Source organism: Homo sapiens, chromosome 2 (assembly GCF_000001405.40).
Source record: "Homo sapiens chromosome 2, GRCh38.p14 Primary Assembly".
In the NCBI taxonomy this organism is placed as follows: Eukaryota; Metazoa; Chordata; class Mammalia; order Primates; family Hominidae; genus Homo; species Homo sapiens.
This window is the reverse complement of record NC_000002.12, coordinates 27,990,255-28,002,637: the sequence shown is the minus strand read 5'-3', so window position 1 is coordinate 28,002,637 and position 12,383 is coordinate 27,990,255. Positions and strand designations below refer to the sequence as shown.

General features: G+C 37.1%; 1 protein-coding gene and 1 non-coding gene across 15 annotated transcripts in view; both read right to left on the bottom strand.

Annotated features, from left to right (window-relative positions):
* BABAM2 (BRISC and BRCA1 A complex member 2) overlaps positions 1-12,383 on the bottom strand; it is a 450,193-nt gene that overhangs the window by 336,264 nt on the left and 101,546 nt on the right. The gene's annotated exons all lie outside the window — the stretch shown is intronic.
* On the bottom strand, positions 6,189-6,271 carry MIR4263 (microRNA 4263). The gene has a single exon (NR_036230.1). It is a non-coding gene; the product is annotated as a microRNA 4263 (primary transcript).

Below are 12,383 nucleotides of genomic sequence, written 5' to 3'. Positions count from 1 at the left end.
TTCTGTAATTTGCCATGATGTGTCTAGGAGTAAATTTCTTTGTAGATAGCCATCTTAGGATTAAGTGGACTACCTGAATCTGAGTAATTACATTGATTAATATTTATATACTGAATATATTTAGCTTTTTTAAAAAAAACTTTATTGCAAAATATAACAAATATATGGACAAGTTCACAAAACAAAAATGAATACCTTAATTAATAACAATCACAAAATCAACATCTGTGAAACAGATGGAGCACATGTACAAAGCTAAGCTCATCAGCACATTCTATTCCCCAGAGCAATAATGTTCACAGATACAATGACCTATATGAGGAAAGTCAAGACAAGTCTCAATTCCAAGACTTTGTGATACCAGACTTTCTTTTCTTCGGAACTTGGTGTTGTGATGTTCACCTAGAAGTACTAGGAGATACTAGGAAGAGCCTAAGAGTAATATCAGCGTGAGCAGAAGGCAGAGCAAAGCCCTGATAACATTGTTTAAGCCCTAAAACTATTCGCACCCCAAGCTAGTTCTACCCCTGGTCTTTACTGTTATATGAATCAATAAATTCCTTTTTTTTTTTTTTTTACCTGTTTGATTGTATTTTCTGTCACTTGCATCTCATCAAGTTCTAACTGCTACAATTCATCATGTGATTGCCTTTCCTGAAGTAATTTCTTCTTCATTTGAACTCTGTTATTACCTTTCTGATACAGTTTGGACATTTGTCCCCTCCAAATCTCATGTTGAAATCTAACTCCCAATGTTGGAGGTGGGGCCTGGTGGGAGGTGTTTGGTGCATAGGGGCGGGTCTATCCTCATGGTAATGAGTGAGTTCTCACTCTGAATTCACATGAGATCTGATTGTTTGAAGAAGTGTAGCACCCCCCTCCTCTCTCTCTTGCTCCTGCTCTCACCATGTGATACGCCTACTTCCCCTTTGCCTTCTGCCATGATTGTAAGATCCCTGAGGCTCTTTCCAGAAGCAGATGCCAGCACTATGTTTCCTGTACAGCCTGCAGAACTGTGAGCCCAAATAGACTACTTTTCTTTATAAATTACTCAGTCTTACATACTATTTAATAGCAACACAAGAACACACTTTCTTTTCTACCTTGTATCACAGTTCCATCCTGCCTTATAGCATAACTGTCTGTAGCCATATTTTCTCCACTACTAAAGTGTGAGCATGGAGCACAGTGCCTAAATATGAGGTATTCAATAAACAGGTATTGAAGAAACTGTGAATGCATCAATGAATCATTCATTTTTGTATCCCTTGCACCTAGTGCAAGCCTTAAATATAATACAGGCTCAATACATGTTTGTAGTAGGAATTAACTAACAAAAAGGAATAATATCACAGGAAGGCAGACGTCAGTACATACACAAATGGGATCTTAAAATAATCCTTCCTGGTGACTAGAATGATCCATGTGGAAGTAGATAAGAGTTGAAGACATCAGTAAAATCATGTTTCCCTTAATATAGGTACAGATGGCTACATAGACAAATATTTATAGATATGCACATTTCCTTGCTCTGTGAGCTGAAAGGACCTAAATAAAAGCAATGACATCCCAGTAGCAACAAGCACATCTGGCACTAAGATCTTGGTTTCTAAGACCTTTCTCCAATAAAAAGGACAAGGGTTCCTTGGAGAAATGGCTGATACTAAGACTGGAGCAGGAAACTGACAAGATGAGCCAAGATCATCTCATAGTGCCAGAAAGTAAGAAAATGCCACAAAAAAACACAAACAAATAAAAACATCTATAATGATGGGGGCATATCAAAGGAATATAGGAACCAAGTGGAAGAACTTCCAGTGGCCAAAGCTGGAAGAATTTGAAGAACAAAATAAATAACATAGTATTGGACTGTAACCCAAAGTATAAAATAAATATCTATAAGTCCATACTGATACAAATAAATGATTGAATAAATTAATAAATGGAGAGAATAGACAAATCTTCCAGGCAGTAGAATTCCAAATAATTTATGTAGATACTGCCCTCAAAGAGGGCATAACTCCCACTTCTGTGGGTTGCACACAGTGAGACCCTTCCATAGTAAAGGATAAAAGGGGGAAAGAAAGAGTAGCTTTACAGGGTAGCAAACACTCCCTCAAGCCAAGTGATTAAGGTCAACAATAGTGCAAAGTCATATCAATAGTATGTGGCTATCAATATGACTTGATATGTGATGAAAATGGATTTGTACCTCTGAAGTCTTTCTACCAAAAGCCCATAACCATAGCCTAAACATGAAAAAAAATCAGACAAATCCCAACTGAGTGACATTCTATAAAATACCTGGCCAGTTACTCTGCAAAACCATCAAAGTTATCAAAAACAAGGAAAATATGAGAAACTGTCACAAAAGGAACCCAAACAGACATGAAGACTAAATGCAATGTGGAATCCTAGATGGTATCCTAGAATAGAAAAAGGACATTAAGAAAAAATTTTTAAAATCGGAATAAAGTACGGACTTTAGTTAATAATAATATATCATTACTGGTTTGTGGACAAATTGTCACAAATGTACCATAGTAATATAAGATATTAACAATAGGGGAAGCTGAATGTGGGGCACTTAGGAACTCTCTGCTCTCTGTACTGTCTTGGCAGCAATTCTATAAATCTAAAACAAAAATTCTAAAATTAAAACTTTATTAAAAGATAAATAGCCCTTCCCTCAGAAGATCCTGTATACCAAAAGCACACAAAGCAAGCTATTTGTAAGAACAGCCTTTGAAACAAGTGAAGAATATGAAATAATTAATTTAAAGATCCTGAGGGAATATAATCAGCAAGCAACTACACATTCTTTTTAAATGTATAATAAAAGTCTGACTCCTCTGAAAAACTAATGTATACACATGAAGTTCGTAACTATTTCAGGAAGCGTGCTTAACAGCAAGTGGCTAAAAAGGCATTAAAAATTTCTGAAATCCTTAGTACCATAAAGAAAAAAATATTATCCTCAAATCATGAACATCTCACAAAAGTTTCAACGTCTTGGTTAAATCATACTAGGAAGAAGGAAAACAAAACCTAAGGCTGTGGAAGTTTTTTAAAATCACAGCTTAGACTGGCAATGAATAATCCTTAGCACTGTATTCTAAACCCCTTACAATTCTACTTCAACCTACTTTTGTAACCGTATTTTCTACTATTTGCCTATGCAAACTACTCCAAGCCAACTGGCTTGCTCAGTGCTTCCAATATGCCATCCTTGGTATATGATGCTTCTCTGTACTTTTGTCCCCTGTCTACAGTGCCATCCCCCCATCTCTTGCCTTCTAAATCCTACTCCTGCTTGAAGAGTCAGCTAGAACCCTTCTTCTTCCATAAAGTCTCAGATCACCTTAGGTACAATAAGCACTACTTTCTACTTTATCAGACTTCTTGTATCATTAATGTGGCACTCAGCATATTCATTCATTAAAATAAAAACAAAAAAAAAATCTTAGTGTGCCTGGTACCACAAATAGATGTTAGGAAAACTAAAGACAAGTAAGATAATAGTCTCTGCCTTCAAGGTGTTCTCACAAATGTACAGAAGACAAAAAGGTAAACAAGCAATTACTAGACAGAATACAATGCTACAAAGGTGTATATAATGTGCTATGATAATATACTGTACTGTAATTTGCTACAATATTTCCCTTTTAATGTCTAAGTCCTGATTCTCCAATTAAACCAAAGTCCTCTTGAAAGGTTGGTTCTCTATCTTCTACTCAATGCTATACATATATTAGCTAAAAACAATTTTGATGTTACTAAAACCTTCCTTTCTCCCTTACTTTCTTAAGAGAAACAAAGGTAAAAGCCTTGTTCACAGACAGTAGTCTTAAAATAACGAATTAATAGCTTTTTTTAGTAAGTTATCAACCATAACCAACTATTAGTTATTCACAGTAAGGGGAAAGATGGTTAAGAATTCACAAGTAATCACCATTTCATTTAGATTCAAGTGGAACTCTCTATGAGTAACAAACAAAAATAAAGAAAAAGGACTGGTTTGAGATACATCTTTTATCTTCCTGCAGAGGTGCTAGCAATCAGGAACAGATCAAAAGAACAGAAACCAATTTTAAAAGGTGCTTAAGATAAATCTGTAATGTCTTAGGAAAAATGCTTATGATAATATATAAAGTAAAAAAAAAACTGAAAAATGTAGACAAACGTATGTCCATGTGGCATAGGCAGAAAAACACCGGAAATAAAAATCTACTAAACTGTGAATATTCATCTTTAACTCATCTAGGGTTATAGACTGGTTTTTCTTGGTATTTACTTGTATTTCGAATGCTAATAATAATAATTATTATTAATATTTTTTGTTTAAATCCAGCTCTTTGAAGGGAGTGATGGAGAGAAGAGGAGGCGACAAAGAGCGGATGGATGACGAGAGACGACCAACCAAAGACAATGGGTAATCTTCAAAACTGATTAAATAACTCCTCTGGATAAGCATTTTTTTTTCTTGAGACTGAGTCTCACTCTGTTTCCCAGGCTGGAGTGCAGTGGCATGATCTTGGATCACTGCAACCTCCACCTCCCAGGTTCAAACGATTCTCCTCCCTCAGCCTCCTGAGTAGCTGGCATTACAGGTGCGCGCCACCATGCCCAGCTAATTTTTGTATTTTTAGTAGAGACGGGGTTTCACCATGTTGGTCAGGCTTGTCTCAAACTCCTGACCTCATGATCCACCCACCTCAGCCTCCCAGCATGCTCAGATTACAGGCCTGAGCCACCATGCCTGGCCCTGGATAAGCATATTCTTGAACTGCAATGGTTTATACTCAACTCCGTACCTCATTTTCCCAATAGCTGTTTTACAAATTCAATAGAGTAAATCAAAACTGGCAACATCTGCTAAATGTTATATTTGCCATTGGATTTCAAAAAATAACTTGGTTTGCCTTTTTTTATTTGTCTTAGGAGAGTGAATGTTTTTAATATACCTTGTTTGTGCTTTCAAGGTGCTCTGTTTTTCTACAACTGCACTTTTAAAGCCTTGTTTATAACACATGCTTTCAAATTATATGTGTATGCATATGTGTATATATTAATACTCTTCTTAATCTATAATTAGCTATAATAGCAACACCTTTAGAAAACAGATGAAATCATAAATCTTAATTTTGAACCAGGGTTCTTCTACTGTCTTCCTTTAGGAAGTATATTTTTTAAAAAATAACATCAACTTTCTTCCTACTTCATAAAATGTTTCCCTGGCTGATGAAACAGACATAGTAGAAATACAGTAGTTTTTAGTTCATCAACACACAAACCAGTTCTCCACCAAAATTTCTAGTAATTTTCTCATATTCTCTTGGGTCATTTACTGATGATGCATCCTTTGATTACAACTCAAGAGAACCAGAGATGCCATGTTAACAATGCTTTATTTCTACCTTAGGAATATATATATTGGAAGTGAACACCTAGGTTTTCATATAAAAGGAAGAAGTACAGTTATCTTCATTTTAATAATTTGTTATTGAACATTTTATTAATATCAAACATTTTTATTAATTATTGATTAATTTTATTAATTCTGTATTCTTACCAAGGTGTAATACATGTACATTGTATTTTATGATCTGCTGAAGTCTTTTGTACTTTTGCTTTGAAAGTAAATTTTAAAATTATATATTCTCAAAATATAATGGAGAGGACTTCCAGGTGGGACGAAGTAGCTCTGTACAGATCAGCACTCTCAATAAGAACAACTAGAAAGCTAAATAAAATATAGAAATCTATTTGAAGGCATTTGCTATCTATGGAAGAAATGAGAACTGGGAGGCTGAGAATCAAGAGGAGAAAACCTCAAGGAGAGGAGCTGATGTCTGCAGCTGCTCCTACCCTGGGGACATTTGCAAATTTAGGGTACAGGAGGGAGGCTGAGAATCCAGGCTATGCACAGTCACAAAACTGCTGCTGAGGCTTAGAGGAACCATTGGAGCTTTTGGCAGAGTGTTGAGAGACCTCAAACATGCAGCCAGCTCCTCTCAAGACTTTGATGAATTCTGGCGTAGCCCAGGTCAGAAGCTAAAAATTAAGAAAACGCCTCTGAAAAGCAGAGCAAAGCAATCAGCAGTCTTGTAAGACAACATTTAGAATTTGAGATCCACACTGCTTGTGTGTTTAAATATTTGACAAACGACAGAGAATTCTATTCTGAAGTATGTTGTGGGCCAAGGCACTTAGAATTGTTTAGGAACACTGGCCACTCCAATCTCCCAAGTAAAACCCTGAAGAGCACTATCCCAGAACAGAAGTGAACCAGAAGTAAACAGACTCTTACCAAAGCCATAAACTAGCTTCGACTCAGCAAAAACCCTGACTGGATTAAAGTGACCATCCAATCACATCAGCCTATGTCCCTATCAGAGGGGACAGTAAACCCTCTCTCTGGAAGAAGACTGCGTTATCTGGAGCCTCTGTAGTTTTTTAACTGGAATGTCTGACATTCACTCAAAACTACCAGAAACACCAAAAACAGAACCACATGATGGATAACCAAGAAAAAAGCAAACGAAACACACACAGAAAAATCAAAGGATATTCCAGATATTAAAATTAGCTCACATGGACTGGAAAACAAATACAATTAACACAAGCAAGAAAGTGGAGAAAGCCATTTAGATATAGATGAAAAGATAAGTTAACCAGATAATTGGAATTTACAGAAAATAATCAAATAGAATTGTAAAACTGAAGAACATATTCTCTAAAATTAAGAACTCATGAGGGGCCAGGTGCAGTGGCTCACGCCTGTAATCCCAGCACTTTGGGAGGCCGAGGTGGGCAGATCATGAGGTCAGGAGATGGAGACCATCCTGGCTAACATGGTGAAACCCCATCTCTACTAAAAATATAAAAAAACTAGCCAGGTGTGGTGGCGGGCGCCTGTAGTCCCAGCTACTCGGGAGGCTGAGGCAGGAGAATGGCGTGAACCCGGGAGGCGGAGCTTGCAGTGAGCCGAGATTGAGCCACTCCACTCTAGCCTGGGCAACAGAGCAAGACTCCATCTAAGAAAAACAAACAAACAAAAAAGAACTCATGAGGATGGGTTTAATAGGAAAAATAATAAACTGGAAGATAAGTTTGCCATTATCTAGTTGTGCTATTCATTCATTTATTGCCTCTCATCTCCCAAAGCCATTCTGCTTTACCCTGTTTATGAAGCGGGGGCCAGACCCTGTAAACATTTTTCTTCTGCCAGTGGGTGCAGTGTTCAGCTTGTCAACAGAGAGTGATGGAGGAACAGTGCAAGGCACAGCAGAGGGAGGAGCTTCTTATCCTGGTTCTGTGTACTTTCCTCCTTGCTCCCACGGTGCTGCCAGAGCCATGCAGAAGACCTATTAGTGCTCATCCTCCAGCCTGTTTCACTGAAACCAGCCCATTTCCACTTTGCCAGCTCTGGCTTACCAGCACCCAGTAGGCCACCTGCACCAATTCTGGCCCACAGCACCCCAGTGAAGGTCTTCATCTTCCCGTAGCCTGCAGCCACACCCTCTCCAACAAGGAGGTAGGAATCTCAGCTGTGACGGGGTGTGATGGGGGAAAGGGTCTTCAAAGTTTATTCCTCTCCCTTAGCTCTAGAATAGCTGCTCCCTACAACTGCTAGTCTTGCATTCTTTAGAGATCTCCTTTACCCCTTTAGGTAAGTAATTCTCTATATTAAATTTTCCCTATTCAAATTACTGCTATGGTTTCTGTCTCCTGACTGGACCCTAACTGATAAACTAATAAAGTTGAGAAACCTCAAACTGTCCTATCATCTATACTATATGACCCAGCAAGTCCACCCTTCAATACACAGCCATCAGGAATGGATACATGTGCATTAACCAAGACATGTACAAGAATGTTCACAGTAGCAATATTCACAACAGCAAAAAAACTGAAAATAACCTAAGTGTCAATCAATAGTAGAATGGATAAACTGTGGTATGCTCATACAATAGAATACTATCAGCAATGAGCATGAACAACAACCAAAGTAACTACATGGATGACACTCACAAATAAACATTGAGTGAAAGAAGACAAGCACATAGTTTGATTTCATTTGTACGAAGATCAAAGAGAGGCAAAAATAATGATGACATCATAAGTCAGCATAGTGTTTACTCTGAGGCAAGGTGGTCATAGTGATGGAACAGGACATGAGTGAGGCTTCTGGATGTTGGAAATATCATTTCTTGATCTAGGTGCTACTTACACAGGTGTGTTTACCTTTTGGAAATTCACCATGCTATACACGTGATTTATACACTCTTCTGTATAAATGTTATTTGTTAATAATAGTTACCTAAGAGAGATACATTATTCATAAAAAATCAAATAATATGTTTCCAAGTCCCTGGTACTTACCACACATACATGGATATGGTAAAGTGCCCCTCTCCATGTTCCCACAGTACTCTGTACATATACCTCTATCTCCACACTTGTCACCCTGTGCTATAATTCTGCTTATCTGTCTTGAGCACTATGTTCAGCTTCAGGGCTAAGGACAAGTGCTTTACAGGTCTCAAATGAGGCACCAAATGGAGATTTGAAAAATGAGAGAACATTCTATTTTAAAATATGTTGTAGGCCAAGGCACTTAAAAGTGTCTAGGCATCGAGCACCATCCATCGGGATAGCGTTTTTCAAGTGTGTGACATGCAGTCCATTTCAGCTTAGTGCATTCTTTGTATATATTTTGTGTATACTGGGGATGGGAACTATTTTGCAAGGACACATTCAGAAGATGTCCTTCTGTAGGTAGCACAATGAAGAGCACAGGAGGAAAAGTGACAAGGCATTGGTACTCTTACATTCTACGCAAGCAGAACAGTCACTGAAGGACTCATACAACCAGTGACCAATACCTGCAGTAGCATTAGGTTCACTACCCTGAAGATGCTTGTCCCAAACACTAAATTACCCTCAGCTTCCTCAAACCGGGAAGTCAGATAGCAGAGGTTTCCAACCTACTATAATTGCAACATGCTTTTCTCATTTAAATTTATGATCCACCCTTCCTCCTTTATGCAACTTCATTTTAAGTTAAAGTGAATTATCATTATTACCTTGGGGGTAAAGAATTTCATAATATCCTTTGAGGGAGATGAACATACCACAGGGTGTTGCAAAACAAAGGCTGAAAATCATAGTTTCAGAGGTTCTGTTAACTGATTTTATTTTTATCCCTCCAAATTTCTCTAAATTTTTTTTCTACTTTTTAAAATTTTAATCTAAAGTGTATTTTCTAGTCCTGGAAAGCTGCAAGTCCCTTAAGGGATACAGAACCTTAAAGGAAATCTGTTCATCTAACAAACATGTATTGTATACCCCTACATACCAGGCACTCTTCAAATTACCAGGATATAGCAGTGAACAAATTCCACTCTCTCCTGAAGCTGCCAATCCAGTGAAAAGACAAGGATGACTCATTATCCCAGTTTGCCTGGGACTGCCCTTTTTTAACTCTGAATGTCCTGCATCCCAGAAAACCCCTCAGTCCAGGGCAAATCAAGGCAGTTGGTCACCCTGGCAGAGACAGACACCAAACAAGCAACCAAAAATCATCAAATGATGATAAGTGCTTTGAAGAAAACAGACCACAACAAAGATGAGAATGTACTGAGGAGAGTATTGCTATTTTGCATAGGGATGTCAGGGAAAGCCTCTCTGATATAATGACACTTCAAGAAAGGAGAGAACAAGCCATTCAGGTAAGTGCAGGAAGGGTTACAGGTAGAGTAAATAAAAAATGGTCAATAGCAAATGAAAAGGCCCTAAGGTGGGAGTGTGTTTAGAATGTCTGAGGAATGGCAAGGATGCCTCTGTGGCTGGAAAGGGCTGAGCAAGGAGCAAAAGAGCAAAAGAGAAGAAGTTCAAGTTAAAGAAGCAATTGGGTGACAGCTATAGCATAACCTACCCATCACTTAACTTCTTCTAGATTATTTTAATCCCAAAATTCCAACCTACAATAATTTTCCTTTTTTATTACAATGGAGACTCCATCTTAATTTATTGAACATCCTCTCTTCTCACATCACATATTGTACGTGAAAAACAGTATTTAACTACCCCATAGCATTGCTTTTGTTTCAATTATTCCAACATTTTAATTATATACTACCTGTATTTGCTTTTAGATATCTACGTCTTACCTCCCTAAAATTTATTGATGGATTGATTGAGAGACAGGGTACTAGGATTACAAGTCATGAGCCACTGCACCCAGCCACCTCCATAAAATTTAGACTTCTTGAGGTCAAGTTCCATATTGAACAGTGTTCAATGCACAGTATACAAGCAATAAATACTAATGGATGTGACTCTTTGTCTTTTGTTTATTTTTATGCTCAGAATAAAGAACTCTTACAACTGAACAATAAAAGACAATCCAATTTTTAAATGGGCAAAGGATCTGAATAGACATTTCTCCAAAGGATATATACAAATAGCCAATAGGCACATGAAAAGATGCTCAGTATCACCAGCCATCAAAAAAAGCACAAATCAAAACTACAGTGCGATACCACTTCATTTGTGGGTATGAGATACCACTTCATACCCACTAGGATGGCTATAATAAAAAAGACATAATAGCAAGTGTTGCTGAGAATGTGGAGAAACTGAAACACTCATACACTTCTGGTAAGAATGTAAAATGCCACAGCCACTTTTGAAAACAGTTTGGTATTTCCTCAAAAAGTTAAACATAGAGTTACCATTTGACCCTGCAATTCCATTCCTAGAAATATATCCAAGAGAAATAAAAATATCCACACAACAGTAGTTACAATAGCTAAAATACGGCAACAACCTGTAAGTCTATCAACTGATGAATGGATAAATAAAATGCAGTATATGCACACGATGTAATCGTATTTGGCAATAAGAAAATAAAACAGTAATACATGCTTCATTGAAAACAATACGCTAAGTCAAAGAGATCAGTAACAAAGGACAACATATTATATGATTCCATTTATATGTAATGTCCAGAATAGGCAAATCCATAGAGACAAAATGCAGATAAGTTGCTACTTTGGGTGGTGGTGGATCAGGGTGGGAATATAGGGAAGTGACTGCTAATAAGTTTAAGGTTTCTTTTTGGGATTATGACAAGGTTCTAAATTTGTGGTGATAGATGCAAGCTGCACAATTCTGTGAACATACTAAAAACAACTGAATTACACACTTTAGGTGAATTGTACGGCATATAAATTGTCTCAATAAAGCTGTTACTTAAAAAAACTTTTGAACTGTCTCCAGAATGGAAAATAATACTTCACTGGAAATAATGTTAAGCAAAGGCAAACAGCCTTCTGTTGGAAACATTACTATAAAAGATGGATTCAATCAGTAGTTCCCAGTAACAGCTCAGAGAAATCATAAAAATAGCCCAGAGAATTTAATAAGTTCTTGGGCTCCCCAAAGGATATAATTCAGTAGGTCCAGTAATCTGTATTTTTAAAAGGCTTTTCAATTTATTTTAATGTATATCTAGAATTGGGAACCACTGAACCATTAATGTCCTAGCTCAATGATTGTATGAGAGTTTACCTTTGCTATCTATGAGATACCTCTCTATCTAGTATTTTCCATTTATCTGAAAATCTCAAGTTCCTTAATGGAACTCACCTCCCTAAATGAAGAGTCTGAGTTTAGAAAGAGGTGGCCTCATTGGATGGATCACAGCACGTCACATATTCCTATTAACCTTATGTGTGTCCTTTACTTAAGCTACCTCAAATCCTTTTTTTTTCCCCAGAAACGATTTGATTTAAATAAATTGAATAAATAAAAGATTATATATATTACACATATTCTCTAAAACTACATTTCTCAAACTGAGACACATTGAAGAGTCATTTTTTTCTCAAATATTTATAATTTAATATATTTTTGTTTTAAAAATACAGGTATATTACAGAATCAAATATAAAATTTTCATGAATTTTTAAGATAAAACCCAGAAACTTCAAAGAAATTCCACACCTGCCACAGGAACTACTTCAGACTACACTCCCAGGTTCTAAGGGTATATACTCATGCCCTTCTGCAAGGCATACTTCAGGAAAAATCCAAGAAATCTAGGCATTCTGTTTTCCACTCCATGGGTGATGAAATTTGTATTCCCCCTTCATTCAGAACCATATGTAGACTAGTCAGGTTATTAATGATTGTGCTCTGAGCACTACAGGAAGGGGAAAAATGTCTGAACTGAATCCAAGAATTAAACCAAAATCTGTTAACAAGTGAGTGAAAAATCTTTCAGAGACAAGCTACACTCAGAGAAATGTCTGCTGGGGATCAGGCCTTGTAGTTAACCTGTCTGGTGTTTTAATCAGACAACAATAACCATCAAG